The sequence below is a fragment of the Homo sapiens genome, chromosome 22 (assembly GCF_000001405.40).
Source record: "Homo sapiens chromosome 22, GRCh38.p14 Primary Assembly".
In the NCBI taxonomy this organism is placed as follows: domain Eukaryota; kingdom Metazoa; phylum Chordata; class Mammalia; order Primates; family Hominidae; genus Homo; species Homo sapiens.
Genome location: NC_000022.11, coordinates 48626276 through 48648022, shown reverse-complemented (window position 1 = coordinate 48648022; position 21747 = coordinate 48626276). Strand labels below are relative to the sequence as shown.

The following is a 21747-nucleotide window of genomic DNA, read 5'->3' as shown; positions in this document are numbered from 1 at the left end:
TGCCCAGCCCCTGTCCCTATCTTCTTCTGGCTTTGCAGGGCCTCTGCCCCTACCGGGCCGCAGCTCGAGGGCAACCCCAAGTCTACGCCTGTCACTCAGGGATGCTGGTTTCTCTCCACCCCAAGAAGTGGCGTCAGGGACCCCACATAGGGGACTCCGCATCTCACCCACGGGGGACCCTCCCTCCCTGCACTCTCTCCTGGGCTGTGGTCAAGCTGCTGCGCCTAGAACCAAGGCATCCAATACCCCTGCGTGGGGTCCTTCACCCCAAGGCTGCCTGGACTGGCACATGGCTGCTGCTGGCTAGGCCCATGGCAGCCCCCATGTCTGCCCCAGGGAGGGGTCTCCCTACCCACTCTGGTCACAAGGGAGGGAGGCAGCCTGGATTTAATGCCGGGCCTACATGCCCACCTGTGACCTTTGGCTGGTGTTGACACCAGATGCCTTCCCGGGACACACTGGGCCTTGGGGAGGTCCCGGCTGTGGGGTTCCCAGGTCTCATGCTGTCCCCTGAACTTAGCTGGTCACCAGTGGTCTTAGTCAAGCCCACTCTCTCCCCATGGTCAGGCACAGCATAGACACAGCAGAGTTCCCTACCAGATGACAGGCTCCCACCAGACGCCGGGACAGCCCCTCCCGCCCCATGTCACCTCATAGCAGGTGCCCTTTCCAAGTGTTCACTCAGCAACACTATCATCCCTCAGCCACGGCCCAGCTTGTCAGAAGCTTGACTTCTAGGGGCCGGGGGTCACTGCCAGCTGCCAGCAGGCACTCATCTGCATGTGCTCAGAGCCCATGGGGGCCGGAGCTGCGGCCTCCCGAGTCTAGGCATGAGAGTGTCTTGAACTGGCCAGACCCAGAGACAAGGAGCCAGGTCCCGCTGGCAGCCTCGGCCAGACCACACGCAGACGATGGAACGGCACCCAGGGGACCTTGCCATCCTGCAGATGACCCCTCTGCTGTCCTTCTCCTCTCCCAGAGGCAACATCAGAGAACCACAGCCTTGGGCCAGAGAGCCCCAAACATAGGCAAGTAAGGCAGGGCACCGGCATCTCCCCGACCACTCCCCCAGGAACTGGAGACTGCACCCCAGCCAGTCCCCAAGCCACAAGCTCACACCATCCATGGGAACAGCTGTGCCAACAGCCAGGGGCCTGACCCGAGGATGCGCTGAGGCCTAGGGGGACCTTCAGGTAAGGGGCCGCGTCAGGGAAGAGGCACCTTTGGTGACGCCGCGCTCAGCACCCGGAGGGGTCCTGGGGCCACGGGTGCTTACCGTCCACACAGGCGGGCCGGGCTCTCGTGGTGCCGGCGATCTGCCCCTTTCTACACGCACAGCGGGCGGTCTGCCGGGCGATCGTCCTCCGAGGCTGGCTGCTGTCCCGGTCCAAGGTCACAATCTCACAGGTGCCGGCGGCCAGCTGACCTGCAGAGAGGAGCAGAAGCGACTGAGCGGCCACACGTTACAGACACCCCACAGCCAGAGCCCACCCAGAGCCCACCCACAGAGGGGCCCCCAGCAGCCAGGCCACAGGGCAGGGAGACCGCTTCACTCAGAGGGAGCGTCCGAAAGCACCTCGAAGGCTGCCAGCAAGGAGCGCTCGATGGAAGCCAGAGCTGGGTCAAGTCGGCGAACTCCACCCTGTGTGCAGCCTGGTGTTCAGGCGGTGGTGCTGCCTTGGCAGACAGGAAATTAAACACAGCCCCATCTTTATCACGCCCGGAAATGAAAGGTTCGGATCACAAGGAGGGAGCTGGCTCCCCTGCACACAATCAGGCACCTGCTGGAGAGAAGCCGGGCTGTACGAGGCACAGTGCTTGGTCTCCATCCCCAAGTGCCAGCACACTGGCCCCAGGGTGTGGCACTTTGGAGCCGGAAAATAGGTCAGACCCCCGCTCAGGCTTGTCAAAAGTTGTGTGGAACCAGCCACGCTGCCAGGGAGGAACTGCCATGCCTGCCTGGGTACAGAGGAACGAGCAGGCGGGCACCACTGTGTGCATCGATGCCAAAGGGTTCAGGATTTCCTCCGCCCTCCCACAGCGCGGTGCACGCCCACACACACATATGTGCATGTACGTGTGTGCAAACAGGCACACATGACCGCACACAAGGCACAGATGTGCACGCAACACACCCCTGGAGTGAGCCACAGGCACGCAGGTTTACACGGGTGGCACCCAGGTGTGAGCACACTAAGGCCAGGGGTCTCAGGCTCACCAGCAGCACATGAGGACATGCTCCCCAGGGGTGCACGTGCCCATGCAGACACAGGTACACACAAGCTTCATGGATGTGCTCTGCAGACACCCACCACCCATGGGTGTCGTGGACAGGCTCCCACAGGAGCACCCTGCATCCCCATCTCCCTTGTCACACCACCTCTGCTCCCCACATTACAGATACCCCACAGGGCACGAGGGAAGCAGGAAGGACCCCGGGGGCAGAGTCAGGCTCTGGGATTACCTGTGGTACAGAGAAGGGACACATTTCTTCCAAAGGTGCCAACATAAATAATTTCCCTGGCTTTCCTCACTGCCCCCTCCGCATCCCCTAAATTCCAAGGAGAAGGCTGTCTCTGCAAGGGCCCGACAGCCCAGGCATCTCAGGTGCGGGAAGATGAACAGCCAGGAAGTTCTACCCTGCAAATAAACCCATGGAATTTAAGATACCACTCTGCTGGTAAAACGCAGCATGGCCACCACCAATCACAGCCAAATATTAACACTGACAAATAAAGACAGTGCCCGTGCTCCAGGTGAAGATGAAAACCCAGCATCCCCAGGGCAGGATGGAGCTTGTCCCTCAGCCAGTGCTGCCCAAATCTGCCCTGAACGGTGAGTGCCAGGTCCCCTGCCATCCAGCTCCACATGGGCACCTGCTCCCTGGAACCACCTGGATGTCTACTTACTCGCTGCCTCACTCCTTCATCTGAGTAGGTAATGAGTGCCTGCTGCAAGCCCTCCTCTGTGCAGGGCCCTGGGGCCACGGCGGTTAGAAAAGAATTTGGTGTCCTCCCCAGGGGCCCCTTCCAGCTGGGGGAGATGGCCGCAGCATCAGAGATGCACGGACTCAGGGCTCCCAGCCTGTGGGGATCAGCAGAGAGTCTGCGGGCTGCCTGGGGGGCTCAGGACAACAGGATGGCAGGGAGGTGACTCCGAGGAAAGCCGTGGTGGGTGCGTGAGGGACGAAGGGTGGCCATCCCACCCTTGCAGAGAGGAACCTGCAGGCAATGCCCGGGTGCTCTCCAGCAGCCGTTTCTACAGCCTGGGTGCCCTTCCTTATCCATCCCACTTTTTCTCCTATGATAACCTTAGACGGCCCCTCCTCTGGCACCTGCCTTGTCACCTGTCACCTCTGGGTCCCCCAGCCCAGCACCCTGGCCAGGGCAGACATCACATGTGCTGGCAGGGTGCGGCTTGGAGGAACTTGGAGAGGCCGCCCAGCTCTCTCATCCCAACACCCAACACGGCTCAGACTGTCCTCAACCCTGGGGAGTGCCCGTGTCTGATTGTGACCAGGAGGCACTGGATGACTCTAGTGGGCACCAGACCGGCCTGCCCCAGCTCCTTCTGCCCATGGTGCAGGGCATGGAGCTGTCCAAGGTGCCCCAGGCCAGGCTGCAGAGCCCAGTGCATAAGGGCCTGCTGAGTCATGGCTGGTGCGTGGCTGCGGGGAGGGGGTGGCATAAGTTCACAGGAAGGATGCTGGGGCAGCAGGGGCCTCCCCTGGGACTATGAACCAACCCCACCAGCAAGCCCCTCCCACGATGAGCAAAACCCTGGTCCCCCGCTCGGGGCCCCCTCCCCGAAGGCTGTGGGGCGGGAACTTGGACTTCCACTACCAAATTGCACACAAAATTACACACTGCTCCCAGAAAAGGGCGACACCAAATGAGCAAGAGAAGAAGTGGATGAATAAATACCACGAGGAAAGAGCATCCGGGAGGATGAGGTGCTGCTTCTCTCTGGATAACAGCGGTTACTGCGTCAAAGCCATGCTGTGGGGCAACACGCATCTGGACGGGTCCCGAGCACACGTTCTTACGTTGTGATTTACGCAGAAGGAAAGTCACTGTGATCTGAGGATGGTCCCCAGCTGCTGTGTTAAGCTCTGCAGGTTGGCTCTGGGCCACTCCACTATTCCAGGCTGCGTTGCCGCCACCTTGACCCCAGACCCTTCCCTCTGACATCAGCCCCAGCAGAGACTCATGGTGTCCAGGCCACCCCAGGGCCAGCTGCCTCCTTGGGGCAGGGCCCAAAATGGGGCAGCTCTGGAGTCATCCACCTACAGTAGCTGGTGCCATGGGGAGATGGCCACAGCAGTGCTGGGGTACTGCTGAGCCTGAGAAAGCCTGCTAGCCCTGCTGCTGAGCCTAGTCACTAAGCCGCCAACCACACAGCACACCCCTCAGGTGCTACCCGACCGGCCAGGGCTTTGGCATGGCCAGCCCCTGGGCAAGCTGTTGTCCCTCCTAGCTGGACTCCTCCTCTGTAAGGGGCACAGGTGCCACGCACTGGGCAGGGCCACACCAAAGTGCACACTGGAGGGTCTCCAATCCCAGGTCACCCTCACCCAGGCGGTCCCCAAACCAGCCACGGCCAACCGAACACTCTCAGCCCTCAGGGACACAATTCGAACCAAACTCCATGGACGAGACGGTGCTGAGCCCTGAAACAAGGCCACCCCTACACCTCTGCCCTGCGGCCACTGGGAAGCTTCCCAGAGGAGGCATCAGGGCCTTGCAGGAGCTTCCTGCGTAACAGATCGCCACAGCGAGCCACGCACCGGGCAGCCTGAACGGTACACGTTCTTATCCCATGGCGCTGGAGGCCGTGCATCTGAGATCCACATGGCAGCCGGGTTGCAGTGCCTCTCAGTCTTTCTGGGCTGTCGCGACCCCCAGCTCAGCCCCAGCAGGTGGATGCCTGGAGCCTGCAGCAGATGCAAAGGCAGGGATGGGCTCTGCCAGGCCAGGGGCTGGCCCAGGACTCACCCCAACCCCAGGGTCCCATTCCCCAAATGAGAACACTTAGCCCAATACCTGAGTGGCCCCAAAACCTCCTTCTGGGACTACTGACAGGGCCAGGGCAGCCAAGAGCCAGGGTGTGTGGAGCTCTAGAGTGGAGCTCCCTGGCTCTCCCACAGCTGTTCCCCCTGTGTACCACACAGGACTCACACACACGTGTGCATGCACACACACCACACACGTGCACACACAGACCAAACACACCCCCCACATGTGAATGTACATACCACACACTGACCAAACACGTGCCCACACACAACCCACACACATGGGTCAGCATATATCACACAGAAAGACCACGCAGGCCACACACCACATACTCCACACACACAGACCACACAGTCACACACACGGCATGTACACTCCCACACACCCCAATCTCTGCCCACTGTGAGGCCTTTGGGGAGGGGTCCAGGCCGGCCTGGTCTCCAGGCTGCAGGGACAGGGTCCTCAGTGGTCCGGCTCCGAGTGCTGGGTGATGCTTGGCTGCCATCCAGTGCTGACCGCCCCTCTGCTCACGAGCTCCAAAATCGCCTCATTCTCAGAAAGGGGGGTTCAGAAGGGAGGGCGGGCCCACCAGGAGTCAGGAGCTGTGGAGGCCGCACCAGGGCTGCCTGTGGGGCATGATAGCCTGGAGGTGTCCCTGCTGTCTGGAGGTACAGGGTAGACCCGGACCCCTGGGCCGCCCCTTTGCACCTGCCCAACTTCTGGAAGGAGGCCATTTGGGAGGTTCTGGGGTCCCCTGGGGCTCTGGCAGGGCTGGGACAGTGGCGAGGCCTCCCCACAGGGCTTGGCACCCTCAGCAAAGCGCAGGCCGCTCCACCAGGCTGCCCCACGCAGCAAAGCACAGGCCCCTTCACAGGGCTGCCCCACTCAGCAAAGCACAGGCCCCTTCACCAGGCTGCCCCCCTCAGAAAAGTGCAGGCCCCTCCACCAGGCTGCCCCCCTCAGCATGCTGCTGGTCCACCCACGATGCCAGCAGGCTGCCCCCCTCAGCGTGCTGCTGGTCTACCCACGGCGCCGGCCTTTTCTTGGAGATAGGGGATGGTGTTTCTGTCTTTTCTCTCATCTTTTTTTGTTTTTAAATAAGGAGTTTGCATTGCTTTTAAGACCAGAAGGAAAAACATTCAAAAATAAAGCAAGTAATCACAATTCCTTCTCCAGTGCCAACTCCCACAAAGCCCAGGCCGAGTGCTTGGGGAGTGGCCTCTGCTGAGAGGACATGGGACCTTGCAGGTCCCCCCACCGACTTTCCGCTGGGTTGGCCTGGACCGGGGGCCTCCGAGGGCTCCCAGTTAGCGAGGCCGTGTGCACACGCGTGTGCGAGGGGACGGCATCGTGTGTGAGGGGAGGGTGTGCGGGGGGGAAGGGAGGGTGTTGTGTGCGAGCGGAGGGCGTGTGGGGTGGAGGGGAGGGCGTGCAGGGGGAAGGGGAGGGCATCGTGTGCGAGGGGAGGGAGTGCAGTGGGGAGGGGCAGCCACCATCAGAATGGAAAAGAACAAAGCTGCCTTTGGGGGAGTTTTCTTAGAAAGGCAGTGACATCATCGTGTGGCAAAAATCGGAAGTCAGAGAGAGAGATTTTAAAAAATAAAGAATCCACCCCTCCAGCCCCCAGGACCAGCCCCTCCCGGAACACATCCCCAAATTTGACTTTCTGTCGGGCTGCATATGGGTTGATCATATGAAACCTCCTTTCCATAGGTGGTGTTTGTCACGCATCATTTCACAGAGACCCCCTTCTGTGGAAAGAATGTGGCCACCTGGCACATTCTAAGGCAGCAGGGAACCACCAGAGACCACGGACCACTGTTCCCACTGCCCTGGCAGGGGGGCCACGGTGCCCCCACGGTCTCAGCTTCAGGCAGAAGCTGTCCCATAGGGCAGACCCCCACCAACAGCCCCCCACTGTTCTCACTGCCCCAACAAGGGCCACGGTGCCCCCACGGTCTCAGCTTCAGGCAGAAGCTGTCCCGTAGGGCAGACCCCCACCAACAGCCCCCCACTGTTCTCACTGCCCCAACAAGGGCCACGGTGCCCCCACGGTCTCAGCTTCAGACAGAAGCTGTCCCGTAGGGCAGACCCCCACCAACAGCCCCCCACTGTTCTCACTGCCCCAACAAGGGCCACGGTGCCCCCACGGTCTCAGCTTCAGACAGAAGTTGTCCCATAGGGCAGACCCCCACCAACACCTCCCCAACTGGGGAGCCTGGGCAGACCACTCACTTCCTAATTCAGAGTCCCCTGGCCTCTGAAACAGGGACGCAGCCTAGCTCCTTGCCATACAGAGAAGACCCCTGACAGGCAGAGCCAGGTGTGAGCCGGGCACCATCTGTGCGCCATGTGGCTGGGGGAGCTTGCACACTTAGGAGCCCCCGCCCAGCCTCTGCAAGAAATGGCCCCGGGGTAAACGCCTCTCATCACCCACAGCCCAGCCCAGCCCTGCCCTGCCCTGCCCACCCAGCTGGCTGTGTCTAAGCCAAAAAGGGAGACCACGTCCCAGGGGAAGCCCCCCCTTAGAAGCACACTCCCCGTGACAGCTGAGATAAGCCAGCCTTGGTTGCCAAGGGAGCCCAGGCTGTGTCTGCACTGGGCGCACAGGCTGGAGGAGCTTCCGCAGGCCGTGGGCCCATTCATGTCCCTCATCGGCATGCAGGGGGCGGTGGGTGCTGGCATGCCCCCATGCCCACTCAGACGCCAGCTCTGAGCTCCCACGCAGCGTGGGACCCTCCACCCTCCAGCAGAGCTGCATGGTAGACCTGCCTGGGAGCCCTGCTGAGGGCCAGATCTAGCCTCCACCGTCCCAGGACAGGAACTGAGGAGTGGTCTGGTGGCCTCCAGGAGCCTAAGGCCTGCAGAGCCAAAGAGCCGAAGAGCCTGGCGCCGGCCCCATCTGCTGCACTGGCACAGCGAGGCAGGGGCTGGACTGGGTTCAGGGGCTGCAGCACGCCCTCCACAACCCACCCAGGCTAGCACCATCATCACCTGGGTTCCTACAAACTTTACAGAAACAGCTCACAGAGCTGATGCCACAGGCCTTGGGCGGCGGGGTTGGGGGGGTGCGGTCACGATTTGGGGCCTGTGGATGAGGGGGAGAGCAATGGAGAAAGCATCCGGCAAAATTCCCAGAGCCCTGCCCAGACCCTGGGGACTGCTGGCTCTCCAGGACCCCGGCAGGTGATGGCAGGAAGGATGCTGTGGACTGAGTAGAGGTGGGTACAGGTCCAAGTCCAGCCACTCTGTTTTTATAAGTGAGCCAAGTTTTGACAGGGGAGATGGCTGGACCCAGGGAGACAAGCGGTACCCCCTTCTTCCAGGTGCTAGGCGGGGGCTGGTGGGGCAGTGGGGGCACCTGCATGTGGCTTCAGGTGGGCATAGATCAGGCCCAGGCTCCAGGAGGTGTGACAAAGGGAGCCACTCAGGGGCCAGGGCTGGGGCCTCCCTGGCGGGAAACAGGCCCTCAGGGTGTCTGGAGCTCAGCCTGGGCCCTCTGGAGCAGCTCCTGCCACCCGTGGGGCGCAGACCCACAAACCGTGTGATCCTGCCAGGCTGTGACACAGATCTGGGAGGATGTCTGATGTGACGGATGACAGGATGAATATCCAAAATGACTTTGACAGGCACAGACCAAGAGGGTGGCATTTACCATTCACGAATGTCAGCTCTGTGCTTGGTCAGACCAAAAACAAGGTGCAGCTGAGGGGCCCCGCAGGCCTGAGGGCAGGGGGCGGCCCGAGGTGACCCACAGTGCCACTGGGAAGGTGGGGCCCGGGGGCAGGTCCCCAACGGGGAGAAAAGGAGGCGCCGTGGGGCCGCCCAGAGTTCCCGTAGGGAGTGCTCACACACCAGCCTGTGTCCAAGTGACGGGTGGGGCAATGGGGTGTCCTCAGCCTGTCCTGCCCACCTGCATGGGCACCATCTCTGAGCTGGGGCCTGGGAGGAAGTGAGGCCAGAAGAAGAGCTGGGCTTAGTGTCGGGGTCCCGCCTGTGTGCGGTGTCCCAGGGCTTAGTGTCGGGGTCCCCCCTGTGTGTGGTGTCCCAGGGCTTAGTGTCGGGGTCCCCCCGTGTGCGGTGACCCAGGGCTTAGTGTCGGGGGATGGGGGGGGGTCCCGCCTGTGTGCGGTGTCCCAGGGCTTAGTGTCGGGGTCCCGCCTGTGTGCGGTGTCCCAGGGCTTAGTGTCGGGGTCCCCCCTGTGTGCGGTGACCCAGGGCTTAGTGTCGGGGGATGGGGGGGGTCCCGCCTGTGTGTGGTGTCCCAGGGCTTAGTGTCGGGGTCCCCCCTGTGTGCAGTGTCCCAGGGCTTAGTGTCCAGGGGGGTGGTATTGCCTGTGTGTGGCCCAGGGCTTAGTGTGTGGGGGGGGTTGTTGCCTATGTGTGGCTTAGTGTCAGGGGAGGGGTATTGCCTGTGTGTGGTGACCCAGGGCTTAGTGTCGGGGTCCCGCCTGTGTGTGGTGTCCCAGGGCTTAGTGTTGGGGTCCCCCCTGTGTGTGGTGTCCCAGGGCTTAGTGTTGGGGTCCCCCCTGTGTGCGGTGACCCAGGGCTTAGTGTCGGGGGAGGGGTGCTGCCTGTGTGCGGTGTCCCAGGGCTTAGTGTCGGGGTCCCCCCTGTGTGCGGTGTCCCAGGGCTTAGTGTCGGGGGGGGGGTGGTATTGCCTGTGTGTGGCCCAGGGCTTAGTGTGTGGGGGGGGTTGTTGCCTATGTGTGGCTTAGTGTCAGGGGAGGGGTATTGCCTGTGTGTGGTGACCCAGGGCTTAGTGTCGGGGGTCTAAGACACGTGTACCCTGTGACCAGTCATTTGCCTTGTAGGAGTGGCTCTCAAGGACGAAGTTGTGAGCAACGCCAGCAACTGGACTGGCACTGCCAGGACGTGGTGACAGGACACACCTGTGTGTTCCCTGAGCCCCCGATACCCGCAGGTGAGTGCTCTTCGCCACTGAGAATCTCAAGGTGTGTGGTTTCTAATACCCTGGCCGCCCCTTGCACTATGTCCTCAGCGACTGTCTTGTCAGTTTAGAAGGACAAGACTCCCTCTGCAGTGACCCCCGGGCAGGACAGCCTCAGGATCCCAGGTCCCAAATCTGTGCTCGGCTCTGTTTTCAAGGCTTTACACAGGAGAAGACCTATTCATAAACCGGAAGGAGAAAGGCCTCAAGGAGAGTTTCTGCGGGTGTGGGAAATGGCTCGGCTGTGCTCGGTGGGCGGGAGTGGCTGTGAAAGTGTTGGGGACGTCGATGGTTTGGGCTGGACAGAGGCTGTGAGTTCTACTCTGCCTCGTCCCAGACACACCACATGCCCCACACGTGCACACACAGATGCGCACACCCGAAACACACAAACCACACACCTGAGCGAGGGTGCGGGATTTCATTACAGATACGAGACCAGCAGGGATAACGGCAGAGCTCAGGCTGGCAAGGCCGCCTCATGACCACAGGGGTAAAGGCACTTTGCTGCCGATAACGCTGGCTCCGCACATCAATTAGGATGTTACTATTATTACCGCTTTTATTTTGGGTGAAACTAGCCAGCCAGTGTGGACCGAGGCCAAGAGACAAGGTGAGAAGGGCAGACAGGCGAGGAGGCGTTAGCAGGAACCGCTTTCGAACTGAGACATCAGAGCTCCGGGGCGGAGACCAGCCACACCAGGCTTCCTGCCATGGGCACATGTGTGCACATGTGTGCACATGCCACCATGAGCTCACACTCCTCACAGGCACACATGCACCCCTACGCCACACTCATTTAGTGAGGTACACGCATGCACACAGATCCTTACACACAGGCACGCACCAGGAGCCACGGCCCTGTTCAAGAGGCCCCCACAGGCATCCCCAGCCCTGCCCACCATACAGGTGTCTGTACCCTGACAAAGCAGGTGTTGGGGCAGAGCCAGTGACTCGGAAAGGCTGCTCACCTGCAGACACCTCCCTTCCACTCTCCCAGAAGCCCCGAGCCAGGGCCCCTGCAGCTGGCCAGGCACATCATCTGGCAAGCCCGGCTTTGCTCACTTGGGCCCCTACTGCCCATACCTTGGGGCAGGGGCCAGGAGGGTCCAGAGCCCTGGCCTCAGCCTCCCAGGGCCCCGCGCCTGTCCCGTCCAGCTGGACTACACTCTGCCCTACACTGAGGCTGTCCTCCTTGGGCACAGCTGCCCCATCCTGTCACTCCTGGAATAAGATGCCAGACTCCTGCTCAGCCAGGGCACCAGCCCACACCCACACTAGCTCTGCCCCAAGCTGCAGGCCTCAGGCCCAGCCATCTCCAGGCTTCACAGCAGCAGCCCTGGGGGCTCCTGGGGTTCGGAGGCAGCAGGGACCTGCCACAAGTGGGGGCACCATCAAGGACAGAACAGCAATTTCCAGGGAGCGTCTCCCCACAACAGAAGGCCTCACCTCCACTCGGAGCGATCCACACAGGCCCACAACAGAAGACCTCACCTCCACTCGGAGCGACCCACACAGGTAGCTCTGCTCTGACTCATAAGTTAAGTGCCTAATGTTTAGTCTTATCGCTGATTGTACAGACACTTAGTATGAGGATTAAAAACACAGAAAATGCATTCTTTAAGATCTGATGGAGTATCATAGTCTCAATATTTAAGTTACAGTGAAATCAAGTTTGTTATTAAATCCCAGAATCAACTCCTCCATCACAGTCTGACTTCAACAGAAGCAATTATATGTGTGCGAGGAGATCATGGAAGCCCGGTTCCCCCACGGAACAGCCAGCGTCGGGCCCAGGCTGCCCTCACTCACATAGTTGTGAAATATAATGTTGGTGTTGCTAGCAAAGTCAACGATCTCAGGAAAACATCAACTGAAGCGACCTGGCCAGCTGACGGCAACACCTCCCTGTGTCCCCACTGGCCAGCCCCTCCCATGGCCCTTCTGGAATCTTCAGCTGGCTCCCACCACTGCCGGGAGCAACTGCCTGCGGCCTGGCCGTCTGGCCACTGCCTGTGCACCTGCAAACGTGGGCAGGGCCCACAGGAAGTGTGTGGGTGGCTGGGAGGGAGGAGGAAGGCGCCCTGGACCCACAGCTCCTCCCAAGCTCTGCCTGGGCCAAGTGTGCCAAGAGCCACCTGTGAAATCCGACAGAAGCAGGTGGAGAAGATGACACTACAAATAAAAAAGCAACAATGGCTGCGATTACAACAATGACTGGGGCTGCTCAGCCCCCAGGACCCAAGCCAGAGCGTCTGTGGTTCAGCTCCCTGCACTGGCTCCTCAGGGACACTGAATCAAAAACGCCCAGTGCCACCCCCAGAAACCCCTTCCTTCTCTCGCAGGTCCCCAGGCTGCACCTGCAGAGGCCTGGGAATATGTCCTGCAGACACAGGAGGAACCAGGCCAGGACTGAGCATGGGTGCAATGCCCAGGAAAGGGGGAGTGCTGGTGGGACTCTGCCCCCCTTAGCTGGGATGGAGGGCTCCAGACAGACACGCAGGGGCTGCTCAAGAGCCCCTGAAATGCGCTGCGCAGTGACGCCTGGGAAGACAGACACCCTCACGGAGGAGGAGCTGCTGCTGGAAGGTTCTGGGCCCCCTGGGTAGGGACTGGGAGACGGTTGCTAGAGGCGGCCAGGAAGGCAGAGTGGCTGGAGGTCAGCCTGTGCTTGCCCTGAAGAAGACTGGGAAGCCCTAGCTCCTCCCAGGCCTCTACCAGCCTCAGGGGCTGCCTGCCCCCAGGCCCCTGGCCTCTGCTTCTCGCAGCTGTGCCCTCCACCAGCTACGCCTGCCCACTGTGCTGCCCGAGCACACGTCAACCTCTCAGACCCAGCCCTGGCTGGCTTGGGACAGGCTGGCCCTGCTCTCTGGCCCCAGCTGGTGCTAGGTGGACGGAGCTCTGTTTGCATGCAACAGGCCACAACGGGAACAAGGCCGGCTGTGCTCTGCGTTCTCCGTCCCCAGGCCCCAGGCCCAGAACAGCCCGGGCAGGATGGTGGAGTAGGGGCTGCTGCCCGGGCACCTCCCTGACCAGGACAGAGGATCCCCCCTACCTCAGGAAAATGGCTCCCTGGGACCCTGCTTTGGGCCAGACTTGCTTTTCCTCTTTGGTGTGGACACAAACCAAAGAGTGCAGCAAGCTCCTCCCAGATGCCCCATGGGCTGGCTCCTTCCTGTCCCCAAGCCCAACAAGGGCTGCACTTCATGAATGACTGGCAAAAGGCAGATGAAGGAAGGATTGCGTGAGTGCATGAGACAGTGAATGAGTGAGTGACTAAATGAGTGGCTGAGTGACTGAGTGAATGAATGAGTGAGAGAGTGAATGAGTAGATGAATGAGAGGGTGAATGAATGAATGACTGACTGAGTGATTGACTGAGTGACTCAGTGAGTGAGTGAGTGAGTGAATGACTGAGTAAATGACCGAGTGTGTCAATGAGTGGGTGAGTGGGTGAATCAGTGACTGAGTGGGTGAATCAGTGACTGAGTAAATCAGTGAATGACTGAGTGAATGATTGAATGTGTGAATAAGTGAATGAGTGAATGAGTAAATGAGTAAAGGAGTCAAGGAGTGATTGAGTGATTGAGTGAATGAGTGAGTGACTAAATGAGTTAATGAATGAGTGAGTGAATGAGTAAAGGAGTGAATGAGTGAATAAATGAGTGCGTGACTGAATAAGTGAGTTAATGAATGAGTGATGAGTGGGTGAATGAGTGAATGATTGAATAAGTGAGTGAATAAATGAGTGAATAAGTGAGTTAACGAATGAGTGATGAGTGAGTGATGAGTGAATGAGTAAATGATTGAATAAGTGAGTGAATGAGTGAATAAGTGAGTTAGTCAATGAGTGAGTGATGGGTGAGTGATGAGTGGGTGAATGAGTAAATGATTGAATAAGTGAGTGAATAAATGAGTGAGTGAGTGAGTGAGTGAGCGAGTGAGTGAACGTCAAGGAAAGGGACAGAGACTCTCCTCTGGCCATGACTTCTCGCCTGCTGAGTCTGTGCACCGGGCAGCTGAGGGCAGTGGGGGCAGTGCACCGTCAACAGGCCCTGTGACCCCAGGCCCTCTGAGTGACAAGCTGCCCCCTGGAAAGCGTGGGGGCCTCGCCCAGGCCCTAGGGAGCTGTTTCTCACCCACGATTGTGAGAAATAAACACAGTGGCACACACATCCCTGAGAAATCAAATCAACACTATAAATGAACATTCAATTTCTCAGTATTTCACCGTTTCCACGTTCTGGCTTCCTCCCATATCCTCATCTTCACTTTAACTAAAGATGACTTAATATGTAACTTTCCACAAGTCATTTAAACAAACGCACTCACATGGTCACGACAACAGAAGCACCAGGACCCACTGCCACCCCCAGCCGCCCCCACCAATCCCTCCCTAGAGAAGCCTCCCTTCTTGGCTCCGTTCAGGAGGAATTTGCACCAAGAAAGATGCAGAGAGAGGGAAAAGAGAGAGATACAGAGCAAAGCATGGAGAGATGGAGAGAGAGAGAGAGAGAGGGAGAGACAGACAGACAGACAGACAGACAGACAGACAGACAGACACAGAGCAAAGCAGGGAGCTCGAGAGAGAGGGAGGTGGGGAAGAGAGAAGAGCCCCTGCACGTGGGTGGTGAGCCCCGCTGAAGATAAGCTGTATTGTTTCAAGAACATTCCACAAACACACCCATGCTCCTGCCCGCTGGCCCCCTCTCTCCAACATTCAGGAATATCTGTGCAACGACCACCTGCCCAGTCTCCCAGGCCACAGCCATGCTGGAACACTCTCCCTGCCGTGGTGGGCAGATGACATTCGTGCCCTCCTCATCCCTTCACTGGTTCATTCCCCGCAAAGGTCGTGGGGTTCAGGTCGGCTCTGGAGTCCTCCAGGAGGCCCAGCCTCCTCCTTGCTGCCCAGTGGGGGCGGCCTGGCTCTTCGGGCTGCTGGGAGACCCTGTGGTCCAGCCCCTGGGAGCCCCTGGGAATTGCCTCCATGGGGCCTGGCCCCACCCTCACTCATCCTCGCCAAACTCCTGTCCCACAGGGCGCCAGGGGCCAGGACTGAGGACGGCTGTGAGCACCATTCTCAGCCCCAGGAAGTGCACGCCTGCAGCCGTCTAGTGGAACTGAGGATGCTGCAGGCCCATGGGGTCTCTAGTGTTGTAGTCTATGCCTGCCACCAACTCTGCAGGCCAAGCAGTGACCTCACTCCAGCCCAGCCTCCGCCTGGGGCTGCAGAGACTCCGCCCTGGAGCCTTCAATTCTCTCTGCAGGGATGACGAGGAGGCCTCCAGCCTCTGCTGCTCCCCGTCAGGAGGGGTCAGGGCCTCCGCAGCCAGGTCCCAAGGCATCCATGACTGAAAAACCTCCCAGGGCCAGGGCCCTTCAATGCCCAACACAGAGAACGGCCTCCAGAGGGGGCTTCCCCAGCCAAGGGGACCCTTCAACACCCAGGGTGCTCACAGCCTCTCCAGGGCCCGGCACGTTCTGTGCGTCTTGTTTCACCCTAGTATCCCCGCAAGGGTGGCAGGCACCGAGCTCAGAGATCCAGGTCCCAGCCTGGCCAGGCAGCAGCGCAGTGGGCTTCAGGGTGGACCTCAGGGTGTAACTCTGGACCCCACCCCAAAACTTGGCACCAAAGGGGTCGGGGCAAAGCAAGGACAGTGGCCTTGGTTTCTTACTCTATAAGACTGCCCTGTGGGATTAACACCCATCTGCCTCTGGACTGGGTTTCTCACTGTGTAAAATCACCCCGCGGGATTAACACCCGTCCATCTCTGGACTGGATCAGAAAAGCCTCAACCCACACCAGGCAGGCCCATGGTAGGTGGGAGGCAGGCAGGGCCCGTGGCGGTAAGGGTTGAGGACGGTGGCCGGGAAGCTGCATGTGTGGGGTCTCCCTGGGCCCACAGGAAACACCTGCACCCCAGCCGCTCCCAACTCCCAGGTAGGAGATGACCTTTAGGAAGACCACGTCCGGCCTAGGCCCTGGAGAATGTGGATTCCTGGTTTTCACATGACACTCAGTGACAACGTGATGAAGGAACACAGGATTGCAGGCCCTGTACCGAGCCGTGTGTCTGGCTGGACCCCTGCCACCCGTACTGCCTGGGAGGTGGGCACGCATGTCTGCATTTTACAGGGGCTGGGGCTCAGGGGTCCCATCGCCCGTTCACAGCCAGGAGCTGAGAAGTTGCCTTTAGACCAGGCCGCATCCCAGCTGCCCCCTAGGCCCCCTGCTGTCCTTCCCACACGGCCACGCAGACCCTTTACATTCCGCGATGTCTAGCAAATGTCAGGAAACCTGGAGGGCGTCAGATTTCCCCCTAAGTCCTCTCAACGTGAGATCCAGCCACGAAGCTGTGGTCGGGCAAGAGCAACTAATTACCTGCTCCCAGCGCCTGAGTCTGGCTAATTTCTTCTGCAGTTAACACGGGGCTCGGGAGGCCGGTGTGACGCCGGGGCTGTGCATCTGGGTAATGAGGCAGCAGGGGCTCTGGTCCAAGAGCTCCCTCACACTGCACAGCTGGAGACCTGGGGACACTCACAGCAGTCGTGAGGATGCTGCCGCCTGGCAGGGAATATCCACGCGAGCCACTCAGCGCCTGCACGGGCCGCACCGGTGCCGGGGCACCAGGACACCAAGGGAACCCTTCCAGGCAGAGGCCTGTCTACGTCAGTCCCTGCTGGAAAGGCCGGGCAGGCGTGTGTCCAGCGTGGCCCTCATGGAAGGCATGTGGCTGGGTGGGGCTGCCCACCAGGGACCGCTCACCTGGGTGGGCTGCAGCTCCTGCCAGGGGAGCCTGAGGTTGCCCACTTCACCCTGGCCTGGCCTGGCAGAGGGGCCAAGACCCCGGAGCACACCAAGGGCCCCCTGCCTCTCCCAGCAGATGGCAGGTCATCCCAGCCCCGGTCCCCTGACCGTCCCGAGTGGGTGAGCCGAAGGAGCTCTGCCTCTGCCTGGCCCAGGAGGTCCGTCCTTAGAAAGGACAGGGCGGGGAGCCACACCCCCTCCAGAACGTTCCTGCAGGGACTCCACGCTGCATTCCAGAGCGCCGGCCCCTGGCTGCAGGACACGCCGAGTTCCCCTGTCCTCGGTGACCCTGGGCCTTGCATCCCAGAGCCAGCACGCACGCCGGGCTCCCCCCATGCAGGTGCCCCTGGGACACTGGGTATCTGGGTATAGGGGGCAGATTTGGGCTCACTTTGCTTTTCCTCGGGGGGCCTGGCTGGCTGGTTTCAGGTAGAAACAAAAGCCCCACAGCCGAGTGCCCAGCTTCCTTCCCCAGCGCCTGGAGCCTGGGGCTCATCGCCCCCGTGATTCAGGGCCCCGGTAGCCAGCCCTGCAGCCTGTGTGGCTTCTAGGCGGCCCCTGATGGAGGGCGGTGAAGACGTGGACGCTGTCATTGTTCTGGAAGCGGCACTCACTGCACAGACTTCCATCATTAGCGCCTCACTGGGTCCACCTGGCCCCACCAATTATCCCGTGAACCTGTGTAGTAAGAAGGCGTGGCCACCTGCCCTGGGCCCGAGCGAGGCTGGAAAGTTGTGGACACAACAGCGCACACCTGGTCATCACACGCCGCTGACGACTCAACAAAGGCAATGAATAAAGGCCACGCACGCCCCAAAGCCAGGGCCGAGGCAGCAGTGGAGCAAGCCTCCTTTTCTCTGTGCCTGTCACCAGCTCTGGGCGCCTGCCCCTCTCAGAATTTCCCCACCCCACCCACAAGGCATCATGTGCTGGTCAGTGCCAGGGTCAGGGAGTAACTTGGGGCAAACAGGGGACACGTCATTCAGCGAGCTCGCCTCCAACCAGAGATGCCCAGCAGCGTTCTGCAAGCAGAGCCCCCTATTTAGAGAATCTGGAATTTGCAGCCTCCCACTCCACCTGCTCATCCCCCGCCCCCGTTCTGCAAGCAGAGCACCCTATTTAGAGAATCTAGAATTCGCAGCCTCCCACTCCACCTGCTCGTCCCCCGCCCCGACCCCAGTCAGGTCAGTTCCTCCCAGGCTGGGATTGGCTTCTCTGGGCTGGCTCTCTATGCAGCTTACAGGGTGACCCAGGGATCCCTGGACATCTGGGGCTCCCCAGCCAACACTGGAGCCCAAGAGGTTTTAAAGCACGTGACCCCAGCTCAGCTCCAATTTCCCAGGTGCCCGCACTCCTCTGCCGGGAGGACACTCGGCGTTGCCGGGTGGCATCTGCCCTCTCCCATCCAGGGGGCTGTGATCCAGGGTTTCCTGCAGAGGCGATGTGGACACAGAGCTGGGACTCTGTGCTAGGGACCGTCCCAAGCATCCCAGGGTTTCCTGCAGTGGTGATGTGGACATAGAGTTGGGTCTCTGTGCTGGGGACTGTCCCATGCATCCCACGTTGGAACAACCACAGCTGTCCCCAGACATCATCAAATGTCCCCTGAGGGGCAAAACCATCTCTAGTGGAGACCATGCAGTGTGACCCAACCTGTGACTCCCCAGTATTTAAAACATGTGCCCACCCCAATCTTAAGAGGATGCATGTGCCTTTCAGACCGTTTCTAGGCACAGGGGACACAGGAAGGAGGTGGACTTAGCAAAGCCAGCAGCAGCGAGGGTTGGGGCCCAGGGAGCTGTGGACTGTGGGGCATCCGGAGGGGGGCCTGGAGGCAGAGCTACGGGCTCAGCTGTGCTCCACAGTGCCTCATTCCCAAAGCCCCGGGGTGCCGAGGCCAGGACGAGGAGGGGCCGCTGGGTTGTTCCGCCTCTGTCCTTCCTGAGCCGGAGGATGGGAGGCCTGGGAGAGGGCGTGTGAGCTGAGCAAGCAGGGGAGAGTCAGCCCAGGGCCAGGCCCTGAGGGTGGGAGGGCCTAGATGGGGCTGAAGCAGAGAACCCCAGCAGGCCCAGCCCTCAAGCAAGCATTGCTGAAGTGGAGTCCACCTCGAGGGGAGCCGCTGGGGCCCCAGAGCACCCGTCTGGTGGGTCCCTTCCTTCAGGAGGCCGCCGGCAGGGCCTGCGGAGGGGCCAGGGCTTCCCCTCTGCCCGGCAGCTGCGAGTGTGCTGTGGCCCTCACACTCCTCTTTACTCCTCTCCTCTTTACTCAGGTCTAAGGGAAACGGCGCCCGGCTCTGCACTTCTTGGTCACACTGCACGCCTGAGCTCCCAGCCCCCACCCACAGCCCCAGGTGCCATCTCCTAATTAACTTGACACCTTCCACCTTGCAGGAGGCTGGCACACGTAAGGATTGGCAAACACGCCGATGTGTCTGATACTTCCCATAACTGTTGGTGGCCGCGGAGCTGTTTGCAGCAGTGGCTATTTGTCTTAAGGAGAAACACCCTACGAAGGGGCCTAAAATCCTCCCGGGGGCAGCCATGCCCTGTCTCTGGCTCCAGAGGGACACAGAGCATGGCAGCTCTGCTTCTCCAAGCTCGTCCAGCTCAACAGCACATCTGGGAGCTCACCAGGTCCAAGCATCGCCTCTCCTGGAGGGGGTGGCGAAGGCCCCTGGGGCTGCACAGGGAGCAAACCCGTCTATGCCCTCCTTAGCAGACCTGGCATCCCACCTGGGAGAAAAGCCAGGCACAGGGCACCTGGGTACCTGCAGAGGAAGCTGTGATCGGCGACATGATCTGAACAGGAGAGATCTTCTGGGCCTGGAACCTGCAGGACCCCAGCAGGGGAGGGCAGAAGGCCACACTCCAGAGGCAAAGGGGGCGATGACCAGGAAGCAGGAGGGGCTGGGACTGGCACGGAGGGTGTGCCAAGGCAGGGGCTCCTCTGACACCCCCACAAGCTGGGTCCCGTGGGGCAGCAGCCAGCCTCCCCATGTCCCCACGCGCCTGGCCTGGGCCTGTGGAGAAGTGGAACATGGTAGCCTGTGCTGCCAAATGCCCTGAAACAGCCCTCCTGCCAGCTGCGTCACCTCCCAAGTCCACCTCAACCCCAAGGACCCACCAGAGCCTCAGGCCAGACCTCACAGAGCCGGCAGAGTCACGTCCTGTGCCCACCCCAGCCTGGCTTGCAGAGACAGCAGGTCCCAGCCTGACCAGGATCGCATCCTCCGCTCCGGGCAAGGTTCCCCCACACTGAGCCTCCATTTCCCCGCCTGGATGGTGGGAGTAAGGTAAGTGCACACACCTGCCTGCCGGGTCACCTGGGAGCATCTGGAGAATATGCAACCCCCCGTCCTTGCTGGCATGTGTTGCTGAGGTCAGCCTAACACGGACTCCACGGGCAGCCTCAGTGCCCAGGCCAGGCCTGTGCCTCCCTCCCCCTCGTCCTGGCCATGGCCCTGAGGCCCTTACTCCCTGCAGCCTCCACATCAGCCCAGGCGTGGGTCAGGGACAGACACAGAGGGTCCTGCCTCAGCTGCACCTAGGGTGTGAGTGTCTCATTTTGGATGAGCCAAGAAAGGAGGCTGCTGGGTCCAACAGCGTGGGCCTCCCACGACAGAGGCTGCAGTTTCCATCCTGCTACTCGCCCCCATTAAGAAAGCTGCTCAGCCTCTCTGCAGCTGCCTGCTCTCCAAGCACAGCGGGATGGAACTACCTGGGGGGGCAGGGCTGTGTCACAATTTACAAAAACCACCAGCAGCATCACAGGCACTCTTTGCGTGCGCTGTCGCGACCCCTGGCACTGGCCCAGCCTGCACGCGGCGCCCTCTGGGTGCTGACGCATTTCTCCATCCTCGGCGCCTGTGGGGCTGCCTCCCCCGCCACCCCCAGACCTGCAGCTGCCGGGCACGTGCTGGCTCCGGGGACAGTGACGGAGACAACACATCCTTCACTGTACCAAGACTCTTACTGCAGACTTTCCTGTCTTGGGAGGAGCCAACTTGGGAGGTCCAGGATGGTACAGAAAAGACTGAACTTCCAGAAAAATTCAACTATTATCAGGTTTCTTCTGCTTAACCTTCTTTAGACACACATACGTGGTGCCAATGCCAAGCCGAGTGGAAATCATGTCTTCTGGCCTTGGTGTGTATCCCGGCAGATTACAGGAAACAGAGGAAGCTGCAGGATCACCAGGAGGGGCTGCTGCCACAGTGAAGGAAAGGGGCCCCGCGGCCATCCTTCCAACATCCACGGAGCCCACACAAACCCACAAGACCGGCAATCCCACGGAGGACAGGAGGTCTCAGCACGGGGCTGGAGCAGCTGGAAGGTCCACAGGCAAAAAGGAAAAATGGTATCTAAACGCCAACCTCACACTTTCACAAAAACCACTTCAAAGTGGACCTGAGACCTAAAGACGAAACACAATAATATGAAACTTGTAGAAATAAACACAGGAGAAAAATCTATGGAGCCTTGAATTGGGTGATGAGCTTTTAGATAAGCATCAAATGCATACTCTATGAAAGAAAACCATTTGATAAATTAGATTTTACTAACATTACAAACATCTGCTCTGCAAAGACACTGTGAAGAGGATGAAAAGACAAACCGCAGACAGAGAGATGTTATTTGCAAACACAAATGCGATGAAGAATTGTTATCTGGAGGGCACACAAGGAAACCTTTAAGCTGAACAATACGAGCACAGACGACCCAATTAAAACATGGGCAAAGGATCTGAATGAACACTTCACCAAAAAAATGGCAAATATGCATATGAAAAGTTGCTCAACATCATCTGCCATCAGGACACTTCAAATTGAAATAAGGAGGTAACGGCCATACACCTCCCAGAATGGCTCAATTCCAAAAATCAAAAAATACCTAATGCTGGCAAGGATATGGCACAACAGGAACGCTCCTTCACGGCCGGCGGGGGTCCGATATAATGCAGCCACTTTGGAAG

At 59.9% G+C, this 21747-nt stretch overlaps 1 protein-coding gene across 2 annotated transcripts in view, besides 7 other annotated features; it reads right to left on the bottom strand.

Annotated features, from left to right (window-relative positions):
- Positions 1-21747, bottom strand: part of TAFA5 (TAFA chemokine like family member 5) — a 262380-nt gene that overhangs the window by 103910 nt on the left and 136723 nt on the right. For both annotated transcript variants that reach the window (NM_001082967.3, NM_015381.7), the window contains exon 2: positions 1277-1426. In NM_001082967.3, coding sequence (NP_001076436.1) covers positions 1277-1426 — 150 coding nt within the window. The remainder of the gene's footprint in view (positions 1-1276; positions 1427-21747) is intronic.
- Positions 551-728: a silencer, noted in NCBI's record as "fragment chr22:49043107-49043284 (GRCh37/hg19 assembly coordinates)". NCBI's record gives its function as "represses an EF-1alpha promoter that drives an FKBP-Casp9 reporter gene in an ReSE screen in phorbol 12-myristate 13-acetate-treated (for megakaryocytic differentiation) K562 erythroleukemia cells {active_cell/tissue: K562(+PMA)}" and the evidence as "EXISTENCE:reporter gene assay evidence [ECO:0000049][PMID:32094911]".
- Positions 6517-7036: an enhancer, noted in NCBI's record as "H3K4me1 hESC enhancer chr22:49036799-49037318 (GRCh37/hg19 assembly coordinates)". NCBI's record gives its function as "activates a minimal SCP1, AML or CMV promoter by ChIP-STARR-seq in naive and primed H9 embryonic stem cells {active_cell/tissue: H9 hESC(naive and primed)}" and the evidence as "EXISTENCE:reporter gene assay evidence [ECO:0000049][PMID:30033119]".
- Positions 12204-12776: an enhancer, noted in NCBI's record as "H3K4me1 hESC enhancer chr22:49031059-49031631 (GRCh37/hg19 assembly coordinates)". NCBI's record gives its function as "activates a minimal SCP1, AML or CMV promoter by ChIP-STARR-seq in naive H9 embryonic stem cells {active_cell/tissue: H9 hESC(naive)}" and the evidence as "EXISTENCE:reporter gene assay evidence [ECO:0000049][PMID:30033119]".
- Positions 12777-13351: an enhancer, noted in NCBI's record as "H3K4me1 hESC enhancer chr22:49030484-49031058 (GRCh37/hg19 assembly coordinates)". NCBI's record gives its function as "activates a minimal SCP1, AML or CMV promoter by ChIP-STARR-seq in naive H9 embryonic stem cells {active_cell/tissue: H9 hESC(naive)}" and the evidence as "EXISTENCE:reporter gene assay evidence [ECO:0000049][PMID:30033119]".
- Positions 16957-17786: an enhancer, noted in NCBI's record as "H3K4me1 hESC enhancer chr22:49026049-49026878 (GRCh37/hg19 assembly coordinates)". NCBI's record gives its function as "activates a minimal SCP1, AML or CMV promoter by ChIP-STARR-seq in primed H9 embryonic stem cells {active_cell/tissue: H9 hESC(primed)}" and the evidence as "EXISTENCE:reporter gene assay evidence [ECO:0000049][PMID:30033119]".
- Positions 17787-18615: an enhancer, noted in NCBI's record as "H3K27ac-H3K4me1 hESC enhancer chr22:49025220-49026048 (GRCh37/hg19 assembly coordinates)". NCBI's record gives its function as "activates a minimal SCP1, AML or CMV promoter by ChIP-STARR-seq in primed H9 embryonic stem cells {active_cell/tissue: H9 hESC(primed)}" and the evidence as "EXISTENCE:reporter gene assay evidence [ECO:0000049][PMID:30033119]".
- Positions 18616-19445: an enhancer, noted in NCBI's record as "H3K27ac-H3K4me1 hESC enhancer chr22:49024390-49025219 (GRCh37/hg19 assembly coordinates)". NCBI's record gives its function as "activates a minimal SCP1, AML or CMV promoter by ChIP-STARR-seq in primed H9 embryonic stem cells {active_cell/tissue: H9 hESC(primed)}" and the evidence as "EXISTENCE:reporter gene assay evidence [ECO:0000049][PMID:30033119]".